The sequence below is a fragment of the Homo sapiens genome, chromosome 4 (assembly GCF_000001405.40).
Source record: "Homo sapiens chromosome 4, GRCh38.p14 Primary Assembly".
In the NCBI taxonomy this organism is placed as follows: domain Eukaryota; kingdom Metazoa; phylum Chordata; class Mammalia; order Primates; family Hominidae; genus Homo; species Homo sapiens.
Genome location: NC_000004.12, coordinates 53,550,972 through 53,566,547, shown reverse-complemented (window position 1 = coordinate 53,566,547; position 15,576 = coordinate 53,550,972). Strand labels below are relative to the sequence as shown.

Below are 15,576 nucleotides of genomic sequence, written 5' to 3'. Positions count from 1 at the left end.
GCATGATTTTGCAGCGGCTGGTACCGGTTGTTCCTTTCCATGTTTAGCGCTTCCTTCAGGAGCTCTTTTAGGGCAGGCCTGGTGGTGACAAAATCTCTCAGCATTTGCTTGTCTGTAAAGTATTTTCTTTCTCCTTCACTTCTGAAGCTTAGTTTGGCTGGATATGAAATTCTGGATTGAAAATTCTTTTCTTTAAGAATGTTGAATATTGGCCCCCACTCTCTTCTGGCTTGTAGGGTTTCTGCAGAGAGATCCGCTGTTAGTCTGATGGGCTTCCCTTTGAGGGTAACCCGACCTTTCTCTCTGGCTGCCCTTAACATTTTTTCCTTCATTTCAACTTTGGTGAATCTGACAATTATGTGTCTTGGAGTTGCTCTTCTCCAGGAGTATCTTTGTGCCGTTCTCTGTATTTCCTGAATCTGAACGTTGGCCTGCCTTGCTAGATTGGGGAAGTTCTCCTGGATAATATCCTGCAGAGTGTTTTCCAACTTGGTTCCATTCTCCCCATCACTTTCAGGTACACCAATCAGACGTAGATTTGGTCTCTTCACATAGTCCCATATTTCTTGGAGGCTTTGCTCGTTTCTTTTTATTCTTTTTTCTCTAAACTTTCCTTCTCGCTTCATTTCATTCATTTCATCTTCCATTGCTGATACCCTTTCTTCCAGTTGATCACGTCGGCTCCTGAGGCTTCTGCATTCTTCACGTAGTTCTCGAGCCTTGGTTTTCAGCTCCATCAGCTCCTTTAAGCACTTCTCTGTATTGGTTATTCTAGTTATACATTCTTCTAAATTTTTTTCAAAGTTTTCAACTTCTTTGCCTTTGGTTTGAATGTCCTCCCGTAGCTCAGAGTAATTTGATCGTCTGAAGCCTTCTTCTCTCAGCTCGTCAAAGTCATTCTCTGTCCAGCTTTGTTCTGTTGCTGGTGAGGAGCTGCGTTCCTTTGGAGGAGGAGAGGCGCTCTGATTTTTAGAGTTTCCAGTTTTTCTGTTCTGTTTTTTCCCCATCTTTGTGGTTTTATCTACTTTTGGTCTTTGATGATGGTGATGTACAGATGGGTTTTTGGTGTGGATGTCCTTTCTGTTTGTTAGTTTTCCTTCTAACAGACAGGACCCTCAGCTGCAGGTCTGTTGGAGTACCCTGCAGTGTGAGGTGTCAGTGTGCCCCTGCTGGAGGGTGCCTCCCAGTTAGGCTGCTCGGGGGTCAGGGGTCAGGGACCCACTTGAGGAGGGAGTCTGCCCATTCTCAGATCTCCAGCTGCGTACTGGGAGAACCACTGCTCTCTTCAAAGCTGTCAGACAGGGACACTTAAGTCTGCAGAGGTTACTGCTGTCTTTTTGTTTGTCTGTGCCCTGCCCCCAGAGGTGGAGCCTACAGAGGCAGGCAGGCCTCCCTGAGCTGTGGTGGGCTCCACCCAGTTCGAGCTTCCAGGATGCTTTGTTTACCTAATCAAGCCTGGGCAATGGTAGGCGCCCCTCCCCCAGCCTCGCTGCCACCTTGCAGTTTGATCTCAGACTGCTGTGCTAGCAATCAGCGAGACTCCGTGGGGTAGGACCCTCCGAGCCAGGTGGGGGATATAATCTCGTGGTGCGCCATTTTTTAAGCCCGTCGGAAAAGCGCAGTATTCGGGTGGGAGTGACCTGATTTTCCCGGTGCTGTCTGTCACCCCTTTCTTTGATTAGGAAAGGGAACTAACTCCCTGACTCCTTGCGCTTCCCAAGTGAGGCAATGCCTCGCCCTGCTTCGGCTGGCGCAGGGTGCGCGCACCCACTGACCTGCGCCCACTGTCTGGCACTCCCTAGTGAGATGAACCCGGTACCTCAGATGGAAATGCAGAAATCACCCGTCTTCTGTGTCGCTCAGGCTGGGAGCTGTAGACCAGAGCTGTTCCTATTCGGCCATCTTGGCTCCTCCCCAAAAGATTCTTAATTACATCTGCAAAGTCCCTTTTGCCATATGAAGTGACATACTCAGAGGTTCTGAGGATTAGGAGCTGGACATCTCTGGGGAATAATTATTCTGCCCACCCCAGGAGTAAGAGTGGGGAGACAGAAGACAGCACTGGAGTCATCCTCTGGGGAGAAAGTGAAAACCCAGCCACTCCTCCTCATCCCCTCATCCAGGACTGTTTGGGGTCTGAGAGTTTTTCTAAAAATAGGGAGAAGATGGTGTGTGGATCTGAGGGTGAAGCCAGAAGGGATGTGGGGAAGGGGAAGGGCTAGCAGGTGGCTGTTGGAACTCTGTGAGGTCTTCAGGAGAAAGATGACACAGGTGCCCCTCAGCTGCCTGAAGCAGACTGGGAATTTCATTCACCCTTAGCCCATGCAGCCCGTGTGACCCCCACACACCTCAAGGAAGCCTGAGATAGAGGCTTGATGAACACTCAGCTCATAATGAGATGCACTTTTGGAAAACAGCAGTGAGGAGAGAAACCAAAACTGACTGAAAGTGAGTCACCTTTTTAAGCTGCACCCTGTGAGTGAGTCCTTCACAGGCGCCCACAGCAGCTCTCTGGAGAGGATGCCCCCACATCAGGGAGGCGTGGGCCTCAACACATGCTCTCAAGCCTCCACACTTCTGCTTCCTAAGTAGGTTGAAACCAACATTTCCACAAATATGTTGTATGTATTAGTCACCATATGCCTGATATACATTCCTTCGCCTCCCACCCCCTTGACATTTTATTGGCAAGGATTAAGAATTTGAAGTTAACCTGGCCAGGTGCAGTGGCCCATGCCTGTAATCCCAGCACTTTGGGAGGCCGAGGCGGGTGGATCACGAGGTCAGGAGTTCAAGACCAGCCTGACCAAAATGGTGAAACCCCGTCTCTACCAAAAATTCAAAAATTAACCAGGCGTGGTGACAGATGCCTGTAATCCCAGCTACTCGGGAGGCTGAGGCAGGAGAATCGCTTGAACCTGGGAGGCAGAGGTTGCAGTGAGCTGAGATCACACCACTGTACTCCAGCCTGGGTGACAGAGCGAGACTCTGTCTCAAAAAAAAAAAAAAAGAATTTGAAGCTAACCTAGAACCAGACTGTGGATCTCTCTTGGCCTTTGGGTCTGTGATGGGCCAGTAGGCCCCCCTCTTACTCCCCTTAGGAGGGATATTAAGAAGAATACTTAAGAAGTAGTTAATACCTCTGGAGACCCTTGAATTTAGAAAACTAACAGGCAAGTGTTTACTTTTCTCTGTGAGGCCTCCAGGCTGGTGGCTGCTTGTATGGGAGTCTTGTCATAGCTTTTGTTTATAAATTTTGCATTGGTTTGCTTGATCTTTAACATCACTTTACTCAATAAATATGCATCTAAATAAAATTGTTTTAAATTTTATTTACTTATTTATTTATTTTGAGTTGGAATCTCACTCTGTCGCCCAGGCTGGCACGATCTCAGCTCACTGCAAGCTCTGCCTCCGGGATTCATGCCATTCTCCTGCCTCAGCCTCCCGAGTAGCTGGGAATACAGGTGCCCACCACCATGCCCGGCTAATTTTTTGTATTTTAAGTAGAGACAGGTTTTTACCATGTTAGCCAGAATGGTCTCGATCTCCTGACCTCGTGATCCGTCTCGGCCTCCCAAAGTTCTGGGATTACGGGCTTGAGCCATTGTGCCAGGCCCAAATTTTATTTTTTTAATTGACAAATACATATTGTATATGTGTATGGTGTACAATATGATGTTTTAAAATATGTATATATTGTGAAATGGCTAAAGCAAGCCAATCAACATGCATTACCTCATATATGTACCATTTTTGTGATGAAAACACTTAAAATGTACTCACTTAGTAATTTTCTACTGCACAATACATTGTTATTAACTATAATCACCTCGTTGTACAAATAATCTCCTGAATTTATGCCTCCTGTCTAACTGAAATTTCTGCACCTGTTGCCCAACAGGAGACTTAAGTCAGGGTACAGGCAGACAGAATCACATCTTTAAACAGCTGGTGCCTGTTTTCTCCAGAATGCGTTTCATTTGTAAACAATACTTGTCTACTAAATATAAATACTTGAGCAAAACATTTAGGACTGGCTGTAGGTATGCATGACTGGCTAGATCATTGATTGTCTTCAGACTAGAGAGCTCTTTTATGGGAATAAGTCTGAGTTTGGAGCTAGCAGTTGGAAACTTCTGGCTAATTCTGTTGATTTCTGCCCTCTTAGATGCTTACAGACTCCCATCACATGGGTCTACTGTAGAGAATTCCCAGGGTGGTGATGGACTTATTGAGTTGAATGGCAGCCTTCCTAACTGGAGGCCATTACCAGTGTGTAGTGGGGCCCCTGGAGAGGGCCCATCTGCTCATCTCTCTTGACCCAGACTTTCAATGAGAAGGTGTGTGGAAGCCAAGCTTTTACTTCTTGATCCTGAGCGAGACTTATTTTAGGCTCAAGACCACATTTCCATTTTGTAATCTCATCATCTGCATACACAGTATTTAGCAAGGATTCACAATAGGTCAGGCCCTGAATGAAAGAAAAATAAGTTGTGATTTCTGCCTCTAAGGAAATGACCTTTTAAAGGTAAAAGAGAGAAGTTGAAAACATACGTGAATTGTTTCATAGGACAACTCACTTTGCCCTTTACTTTCTCTCCTTTTTCCTTTTTTTTAATTCTGGGATACACGTACAGAACGTTCAGGTTTGTTACATAGGTGTATGTGTGTCATGATGGTTTGCTGCACCTACTCTCTTATTTTCTAAAAATGGAAGATAATAAAACTGACCCTCCTCAAGTATTTACTAGTATGAATACAGAGTTCATTGTTCAATAATTTGAAATGAGCTGTGAATGAAAACGTGATGTAATTGGCCCAAGACATACGTGGCTGAAGGCTGGCTGGGAATATTTTCCGGATTAACTTTGCATCCAGTGTCCTGGGAGTTTCTTCTCCAAAGGTCTAACCTGGATCGTCTGTTGACCTTTACTTCCATCCAGGGTAGTGTGTTCAGGACAACACAGCTAGCTGTCTACAAAGTGGGGAAGACTTTATTGAAAGAAAAAATACACGGAGGGCCAGGCACAGTGGCTCAAGCTTGTAATCCCAGCACTTTGGGAGGATGACGTGGGCGGATCATGAGATCAGGAGATCAAGACCATCATGGCCAACACAGTGAAACCCCATCTCTACTAAAAATAGAAAAATTAGCTGGGTGTGGTGGTGCATGCCTGTAGTCCCAGCTACTCGGGAGGCTGAGGCAGGAGAATCGTTTGAACCTGGGAGGCGGAGGTTGCAATGAGTCAAGATCGCCCCATTGCACTCCAGTCTGGTGACAGAATGAGACTCCATCTCAAAAAAAGAAAAGAAAAGAAATACAGGGGACTATTACCTATGAAAAGTAAGCATGTATTAGTCTTGCTGGTCATTTTAGCCAGACTAAGCATCTCATAATAATTGTGCTTTGACATACATCCTTACTGTGACCTTCTAACTCTGAACCCAACATTTTCCTGGCCCCTAAATAAACCTTGTTTAGTGAAAAGAAAAGAAGCAAGAAAATAGGAGATAATCAGTGATATCTGAGATAACATTTAAGGATAAACAGGACAGCCAGGCAAAGAATAGGGCAAAGATTAGAGTTAGGGCTGTTTACCGGCAAGGAAGCCATGGAGCAATCTCTGTTCATTTGAGGTTGGGTTTTAGCCCCAAGGGATTGTATTAATTAGGATTACATCAGATGGCAGGTAATGGAAAATTGTGTTATATTGGTTTAACCAGGTAGAAGTTTTGTTTTTCTCATGTAATACAAAGTCTAAGGGTAGGAAGCCCAGGATTACTATGATTTTGCCATGACATGATGCCAGCAGGAATCGGTTCAGTTTTCATCCTCAAGTTTGTCACCTCATGGTCTCAAATGGCTGCATGCTTCAGTGTTATGTACAAGTTCCAGGCAGAAAGAATTAGGCAGGCAGGGAAAAATACAATGTGCCAATGGAGACACCTTCCTTTAAAGAGCCTTCTGAGATGCCTTACCCAGTAATTTCTACTCATACCTCATTAGTCACTATTGTGTTATACAGATGCCCATCTGTGAGAGGGTCTACATGTAGTAACAGCATAAATAAAACCTGGGTTCTGTTATAAGGAAGAAGGGGAGGTTAAATATTTGATAGGCAACCAGCAGTGGTTGCAATAGCAACATAAAAAACAACAGAAAACCTTACATTCATGTTTATATTGCAGTCACATTAATTAATTAATTTCATCCCCTTTAAATGCAAGGTGGTGAATGGGCAGTCATCCTTTTTTAATAAAAGATGTATCAAATGTCAGAAGCAATCTGACATGTCCAAGATCGTCAGAAATACAATCCAATACCAATATGAAGTCCACAACCTTTATAATACATCATGCTACTTAAGAGTTCTGATCTATATAGGAGGTCGTGGACATCCAAGAAGAGCATGTTTCAGGACTTTGTGAAACTCCATATTTAGGATAAGACTATAACATGTCACTTCTCTAATAGTATAGGAGGAAAGAAGGGATAAGAAAAGAATAACAAAACCTCTTGGAGATAGCTGTTAAGCTTCCAAGTAGGCTCATTCACTATCGCTAATAGTTATTAGTAACAGTAGACCCAGGTGCAGTGGCTTGCACCTGTAATCCTAGCTACTTGAAGGTTGAGGCAGGAATATTGCTTGAGGCCAAAAGTTCAAGACCAGCCTGGGCAACATAGAGGGACCCTCATCTCTGAAAAAGATTTTAATTTTTTTTTTTTTTTTTAGCCAGGCATGGCGGCACGCACCTGTAGTCCCAGCTACTTGGGAGGCTGAGGCAGGAGGATTGCTTGAGCCCAGGAGTTCACCACTGCAGTGAGGTATAATTGTGACACAGCACTACAGCCTGGGTGACAGAGCAAGACCCCCATCTCTGAAAAAAATAAAATACAATAACATTAAGCTAATACTCGTTAAGCCCTTTGTTGTTTATGGGCATTGCCTCATTTCACCTTCTTACTAGCACTCTGAGTTAAGCACTATTACTATTGTCTTTCTTTTACAGGGGAGGACATGAAAGTTCAGAGAGGTTAACCAAACATGCCTACTGTCATACAGCTAGTATGCAGCAGAGCTAGAACTCTAACCTCAAGCTTCTCTAACCCCAGCACCTACATATCAAACCTAACTTCTTTCTACTGCTTTCCATGAGCTCTGACTCACTCTTGCAGAGCAGCCTTACAGAGAATAGAATTCCAATTTGGACCTCAACAAAATCATGAATTATTATATCCCATGTTTTATCAAGGTTGTTCATCTGCACTTTAAACTGTAGAAATTAAATCTGCACATTCTAAGAGTCTTCTGTATTTAAACTCTTTAGCCCTGCCTCTGATGCCAAATTCCTAATGACTACGCAGTTCATTGCAACTCGTCTCATCCTGTAGACTTTTCTCTGGTCTACTTCCTGTGGAGTGGAGTTTGCTATCATGGCTTGGCTGTCATTAATGTGATGAATGTAATTATCCCTTCGAGCCATTTCTATTAAGATTCTGGTCTTGAGTTGGCAAAATGGAATTTAATCTTCTTGAATATGGGGTAAGCGAGAGTCCTGGGGGCTTCTGTGGCATTCCAGAGCTTAGGCCTGCAAAGAAGTCTTAGTGTTGAGGCCGGTGATGCAGTCTCAAATCCCAGATCTTAAAGCTGGAAGAGGGGATGTGGCCCAGTCCCTGACAGACCAGGTAGGTAAGGCATAATTAGCTCCATTTCAAAGGTAAGGTGACTGAGGCTTGAGAGCTTAAATGAAACAAGTGTCATACAGCTGATTTCAGAGCTCAATTCATTCCCCCCAGGGAGAAGGAAGAATGGAGTGACTCATTTCCTCACCAAACAGGAACCTGTACATTGTTTGGACAGAACTTTATGTCTATCCAGGCTCTTTGTTATTCTGACAGAGAATGGCACAGCCTATTCTTCTCGAGAGCCAGATTTCAAAATTAGCGAGGAAGCTGTCACTGTCACATCTCTTTCATATGTCAGTGCAGTCAAGACAGTGATGGGTGCTGGAGGAAGGTGGGGTTGGTTCATATTTCAGCCACTGAATATGTGAATGCTTGCTTTAAGCTCAGCTCTCCAGGCTGCTCCAAAGATGGGAATTTCTTACAGTGTCGCTATAGCAAACTGGAGGGCAGCTTTTCATTATTTAATTATTCACACCGTGGGGTCTGAATGTGTCATGCTCATGTCCTCTTCCAACACATTTTAACTCCCAGCCTGTCTGCTCCCAGCCGGTGATGTAAATGTACCAGCTGCTTCCCAAGAACCAGTCCGCATCCTGCAGGAGGGGCTGGTTCCTTTCCTGGGCATCAGCTTGCCTGCTCTCAGCCTAAGCTCTCTCGCCAACCGTGGTGGCTCCTTGCGTTCCTACATCCTCTCATCTGAGAATCAGAGAGCATAATCTTCTTACGGGCCCGTGATTTATTAACGTGGCTTAATCTGAAGGTTCTCAGTCAAATTCTTTGTGATCTACTGATTGTGGGGGCATGGCAAGGTTTGCTTAAAGGAGCTTGGCTGGTTTGGGCCCTTGTAGCTGACAGAAGGTGGCCAGGGAGAAGGCAGCACACTGCTCGGAGAATGAAGGCGCTTCTGTTGCTGGTCTTGCCTTGGCTCAGTCCTGCTAACTACATTGACAATGTGGGCAACCTGCACTTCCTGTATTCAGAACTGTGAGTCCCCTCTCTGTCCGTGCCTGTGTGTTTATGTGCCTAGTATGTTGGGGGTGGGACCCGAGTCCATTCCCTAGCTGATATATCCATTTTAAATTCCACACATACTAGATGCACTTGGACAAAGCACCCTGCCAGCAGTTTAAAACGGCATGCTTAGCTGTCTGTGACTTAACAAAAAAGCCCCATATTAACAGATGCAGTACTTTCTCAATAAGGCATTTTTTTTTCCTGCTTCAGTGTCAGTGCTGCTTTTTTGGGGTACTCTTTTTCCTCAATAGATGTAACTTCTCTTCCTTCCGTAAATAGAACTGAAGAGCAGTTAAGAATAGAATTTGTATGCATAGATCTGCTGCCTCTATTGGGTATTTATAATTGCAAGCAGGCATCGTCCCTTTATTGAGACAGTCTCTATACCTGAAAACAGGTATAGTATCAGTAAAAAAAGAACCCTATGTATAAAATGTATATATCCATGTTATTTTTATTTTTGATGCTTTTGAAACCTATGGGATACGAAGAAACATGCCTTGAGCACCCATATTTCCATTGCCTTGATTTAATGGGTTAACATTTTGCCACATTTGCTTCATATATTTCTTGCTGCAATGGTCTGGAGCAAATTGTAGCCATCATGACATATCACCCCTAAATACATCATTGTGCATCTCTGAAAAATAAAGACAATTTCCTACATGACACATGTCCATTTTATGCAAGGAAATGCCTCATGTCACCAACCTCTAGTGATATTTTTCCAGCTCCTTTTGTTAGTAAGCTTTCAATAAGGATTATAGACTAATGTGAATGACTTCTAGCAATCATATGAAAAGTGTTGCTGTGTGTGCCTTGTGTTTGGAACATTTGCAAAAATGTATTCCTCCTTATGAACCTAACCAGACGGGAAAAATAGCAAGAGTTGGCTTATGTGTAAATTACAGTCAGTGGGCAAATGAAAACAGAGACTTTAAATAGAGTTCATAGAGTTCAGATCAGAAAAGCTTGTCTGGTCACATTAGATAGTGCTACCACCCATGACTATGTAGTGGTAGCCCGTGCCTCCTTTGTAATTAGCTGGACCAGCCAATTTGTCTAACACAGCAGATGCTCTTTGGTAAATACAGCTAGGTTCTTGGAAGTGATCATTTGTTCTGCATTTCAGGATTATCTGGTCCCATCTTATTGGAATATAACTCCAGGATCCAAGAGAAAGTGTCTAGCTTAAATCTGAATCATGAGCATCTCTGAGGAAATAATGACCTTGCAGAAGCTTTTCTAGACAAACAGACAATGGCAGAGATTATGAAAAGGCTCATTCCTCTCTCAATGGATGCTGAGGTTGGGATCTTTGAAATCCAGTGCCATGATATTCTTCCCTGCCCACCCATTCCCATGCGCTATCCTTCTTCGTTGCTATGTTGGTTTCCTAGGGCTGCTGTCACGAATTAACCCAAGTTGGATGTCTTAAAACAACAGAAATGTATTCTCCCACAGTTCTGGCATCCAGAAGCTTGGAATCAAGGTGTCAGCAAGGTCATGCTCCCTATGAAGGCTATAGGGGAGAATGCTTTCTTGCATTCTTCTAGTTTTGTGGAGGGGGGTGCTGCAGGTGTTCCTTGGCTTGTGGCTGCATAACTCTACCTCTGCCTCCACCTGTCTGTACATGTCCTTCTCCTCAGTGTCCTCTTCAATTCTCTTTGCCTTCTCCTCTTCTTATAAGGAAACTTATCACTGGATTTAGGGCCTACTTGGATACTCCATGGTAATCTTATCTTGAGATCCTTAATTGCATCTACAAGACCCTTGTTCCAAATATGGTCACATTCACAGGTTCTGGGTAGACATCTTTTGGGGGCCACCACTCCACTGACTACAGATTCCTGCTATTCCTACACAAAGATTCCTGCTATTGAGGAATCTTTCCATTTGTTTACTTTCAGTTTTATAGCCTAATTGAAGGAAGGTCCTTATACCACTTAAAAATTTTCTCTTCTACAAGTACATAAATCAAAGGCAACATTTTTGCTGAATAACTGAACGGACACAAGCAATCTATAAAAGTATGATGCTAGGGAATCATACTTTGCCAGGAATCACCATTACCAGGATGGTGTTTCCACATTTATCTGACTTTCTTAGAAGCTTCCAATTGCTGTGTATGCTTTGTGAGAGAATTCTGTGCAGCTGTTCCCCGATGCTACTGGGGATAATTAATCAGTGAATTAGTGACACATTTCAGGTACTGTCATGTTCTCTAAGGAATCCAGGCAATAAGAATTGAGGCATGGTACCTCCTTTCTAGGAGTTGACAGTCTAATTGAGAAGCTGAAATTTATACACATAAGAGATATAAGCAATGATTCAAGGCAGATGGAAATAAGTCATTTATAAGTAGAGTAGGTAGTAAGTTGAGAGGAGGTAGAGATTGTCCATGTTGGTGAAATTGATCAGGGAAGGCTTCCAGAGGAGTTGGGGGTTTAAGCTGGATCTTGAAGTGCTTAGAGGAATGAGGCAGAAACGGGTAGAAAGAGGAAGTATTTCAGGGATGGTAAGTGGCACCAGCGGAAAGGTTAGGGGCTGGCTGTGGTTGTCACCAAAGCTTGAAAAACTATCATTTGGAACAGTAAATAGGGCTGCTGGGCCAGTTTAGCACGCTTGGGAGCAGGAATGATGGGTGATGCCTGCATGTCCGAGATGGAGGCCTTCTCTTCCCTACTCTGGGCCATAGGATCCCAAAAGCAGGCAGAGCTTGGGGGATCTGCTGGGCTTCCTCCACCCTTTATCCGAGCTTTGGATTCCTGACACTGGGGGAAGCTTGCCCTGTATTCCTTGTTTTTCCAGATGCACAGACCCTCCTGGATTTTCCTTTCTCTCTAACAGCAATGCACTCTTGTGTTCCTGAGTTCATGCCCAGCTCAGACGCTGGAACTAATCCAGTACATGGATTCAAATTTGGCATGTGGCCCAGGTTTCTCAAAGTCAAATGCCTGCAGGGGCAAGGCAGGATTTTTTTTTTTTTTTTGAGACAGAGTCTCGCTCTGTTGCCTAGGCTGGAGTGCAATGGTACAATCTCAGCTAGCTGCAACCTCCGCCTCCCGGGTTTAAGTGATTCTCCTGCCTCAGCCTCCCAAGTAGCTGGGATTACAGACACCCACCACCACACCCAGCTAATTTTTGTATTTTTAGTAGAGAAGGGGTTTCACCATATTGGCCAGGCTGGTCTTGAACTCCTGACCTTGTGATCCACCCACCTTGGCCTCCCAAAGTGCTGGGATTACAGGCGTGAGCCACTGTGCCCAGCCAGGAATTATTTTAAAACATGTATCATTCGGGCATAACACAAAGGGAGATGGTGAGGCCTCTGGCCAACTGCAGAATGAATATATAATGCCTGAAAGCATTCAAATTCAATTTAAAACAAAACAACAACCCTGTGTCCAATTTAGCAGATCACTTAGGCATGCCTGGTTTGGCCTTGAGGGCCAATAGTTTATAACGACTTGGCCAAACCAATTCGTAATGTTGGGCCAAACACCTATTGACTCCAGTGGGAAAGACACCAGGTTCAAAAGGATGAAGAGCAGACCCAGAACTGGCAAATGAGACACTGGGTTTTACTGGGGACTTACATATAGGGGAGAGAGTCCAGTGGCAGCGGGCTGGACAGGAGAAACCCCTTGCATATAGTCCAATGGCGAGAGCTGGACAGAACTGCAAATGCTTGCAAAAGGCATGCATTTTATATTTGCTTAGGACCCTCTCCCTAACAGTCTCCACCTAGCAACATTCACCCAAAAGAAAGGACGTCATCCGTCTCCTATACAGCCCACGTTTCCTGGGACAGGCTAGGGGCTAAGCTGTTTCTCATAGATAAGGAATGACCCTCCGGGTTGGCTACTCCCGGATTCCTTAGCTTGGAACTCCGAACCACATGCAGGTGTGTCTGCTATACAGGGTCAGTCTCAGGGTATGCTTAAGTTATTGCTATCAGGTGTGTTTATACCAGGGCCTTTCCTTCTTTAAATATGTTTATTGTCACCTGATGCCTTGACCTAGAGGACAGTGAATCCGACAGAATAACCCTAAAACCAGAGTATTTGGTGTGGAGTCCCAATCCATAGATCAGGGCATGGGGAATCTAGGACAGCCCTGAGGTCTACAAAGAGCATGCCCTAAGAATGAGTGACAGTGCTTTCTTTCCCCACATGCCCTCATCCGCAGACCTCCATGAACATTCTTTTTGAATTTCCTAGACCCCAAAGGGAATCTGGGAAAATAACTTTCAGCATCATGGGCATGAGCATGGAAACAGCCTTCTCATCTTTCTGGCCCTATATTTACAGCCCTGCATGTGGAGAGACTTGTAGATGAAAACCTTAGAACAGTGTAGGTTCTGAGGACCACCCATATCAGAAGTAGGGGTGGAGTTTGTTTTCAAAATGCAGATTTGGAGGGCTCTAAATCAAACCTACTAAAATGAAAATCTTTGGGAGAGGGGGCCCATCCATTTTCATGCTTAAGTCTTCCAGGTGATTCTCATGAGGCCACCCCATTTTCATTCTTGACAAACTCCCCAGGGGATCCGTATGGGCACTACAGTTTAAGAACTCTTCACTCCAGCTGGAAAGCCAACTTACCCTGACTTTCCCTGTTGAAAATTATCACTCCTCTCTGTGTCCCCACTCAGTGCTATATGCATCAGGAACTTCTACCCTGTGAGTTCTGAGATCTCGGGTTGTAGTAATGTTCATATGGCCAGCTTCTGCACAGGTCAGGGCAGAATTAAGTTAAACCAAATTGAATGAATTTGCCTCATATCTTGGCCAACTCCTAAATGTTGCAAGCTGTGATAAAGAAGACCCTGGTTGGTTTCTACGGAAGGGAATATTGACCTTGCTCATAATGATACAAGCTAGGCTCATCTCAGATGTTTCAGGATGCAGCACTGTACTTGAATAACTGGGATTGTCATTGTGCTGGTCAGTCATCTCCTGTGGCTTTTGTAACATTCCTTTAAATATTTAAGTCTTTTTTTTTTTTTTTTTGAGATGGAGTCTTGCTCTGTTGCCCAGGCTGGAATACAGTGGCATCATCTTGGCTCACTGCAACCTCCATCTCCCGGGTTCAAGCAATTCTCCTGTCTCAGCCTCCCGAGTAGCTGGGACTACAGGCACCTGCCACTACGTCTGGCTAATTTTTGTATTTTTAGTAGAGATGGGGTTTCACCATATTGGTCAGGCTGGTCTCGAACTCCTGATCTCAGGTGATCCACCCACCTCAGCCTCCCAAAGTGCTGGAATTACAGGCGTGAGCCACTGCGCCTAGCCTAAATATTTAAGTTTAACAAAAATCCAAGAAAAAAACTTAGAATTTGGTGGAGTGGTGCTAGTACTGGTGGTGCATTTCGTTCTCCACACACCAAACCCTCATGAGCTAGTTACAGAAAAGTGGAGTTTTTTCATCTCCTTCCCACTTTAAAAACTTTTAGTTCCTATCATCCTTGAAAATTATTCTCACGTTTGTGCCATATTCTGATGGTGTGACCTGCTCTTGCCTGTGGTACAAAGTCTGAGTGAGCTTTGAGTGGATGCACAGTTAGTTTGGGACTCGCTTTTCAAAGTACCTGCCCTTCATTTTAGGAAGACAGTTATCAACAAGACAGCTAGGCGGGGTCACTGGAGGACGACAAGTCCTGGAAACTGGTGCCACTAGCTGCGTGACTGACTTCCCAGGAAGCCAGGAAATGATGCGCTCTTTCCAGCTTAGAGTCAAATATTTTTGGTTTGTAAGTGGAATCACTAGGAACAATATTCATTATAGAATCTGGAGAGAAAATTATACTTTATTTTCTTATCCCTATAGAGATAGTAGTACTAAGTGGGGATAGCTTATTCCCACTGGAGTTTTGTACTCCAGAGATTAAAATGAGCAATTCCAATTTTGAAACCTAAATCATCTAAGGCTATGGAAGTGTTACTGGTGGCAAATCTGTAGCAACCTCAATTCTTAACACCTCAAAAGAAAGAATTTTTAACCAAGGGTCATAAGGCAGGGTGAGAGGCCAAGGCAAGTTTTTGAGCAGGAGTGAAAAGTGTATTAAAAAGCTTTAGAGCAGGAACAAAAGGAAGTACACTTAGAAGAGGGCCAAGCGGGTGACTTGAGATCAGCCGGGTGGTTTGACCTTTGACTTGGTGTTTCATATGTTGGCATGCTTCCAGGGGGGTTGCATCTCTTCTCCCCTGATTCTTCCCTTGGAGTGGGCTGTCCGCATCCACAGTGGCATTCAGGCACTTGGGGGGTGAGCGTGCGCAGTGTGTTTACTGAAGTTGTGTACGTGCTCACTTGAGGGCTTTTTCTCCTTATCAGTTGAGGATTCATATACCAGTTAAACTCTGCCATTTTGCCTCTTAGTGCGCATGCTTGAGTCCACTCACCCAACTCCTGAGATCTTACTAGGAAGCTGATCACCAGTTTCAGGTGTTTTCTATTTATTGGGAAACTGCCTGGCCCTGGCTTCAACCAATGATTATTTTAGAGAGACAATTAACAACTGCCTGACCATCACCTGATGGTTGCCTGACATTCCTCATTGTGGGGAGGGTGGCCTTCCCTGCCTCATGTCTGTCTAACTACCTACTGTAACAGAAGGATGAGGCCTCGGGGAGAAACTGCCAAAAGCGGTAAGAGTTATGGGCAGCCTTATGTATGCCCTTCCTGCAAAATGTGGTAGGCCCCAGGAGTCAGAGCCACAGAACACACCAAGCTCTTAGAACCAAGGATTCCAACCACCAACCGCCTCCTAGGTTAACTGACTCTAACCTAACCTGCGACATACACCTCTGACAAACTGCACAGACTTCATGCAACAAGAACATTCATTTTGGGGCTCACAGGCCCAAAGA

The 15,576-nt window shown here is 44.5% G+C and overlaps 1 protein-coding gene across 5 annotated transcripts in view; it reads left to right on the top strand.

Moving 5' to 3' along the window:
- The window catches only part of LNX1 (ligand of numb-protein X 1), a 193,177-nt gene that overhangs the window by 85,930 nt on the left and 91,671 nt on the right, over positions 1-15,576 (top strand). Inside the window, exon 1 of one of the 5 annotated variants that reach the window (NM_032622.3) lies at positions 8,337-8,674. The exons of the other annotated variants lie outside the window; for them this stretch is intronic. Within the exon in view, the coding sequence (NP_116011.2) occupies positions 8,583-8,674 (92 nt within the window). The 5' untranslated portion in view covers positions 8,337-8,582. Of the gene's footprint in view, positions 1-8,336; positions 8,675-15,576 lie in introns of those variants that run through there. 5 annotated transcript variants of the gene reach the window in all.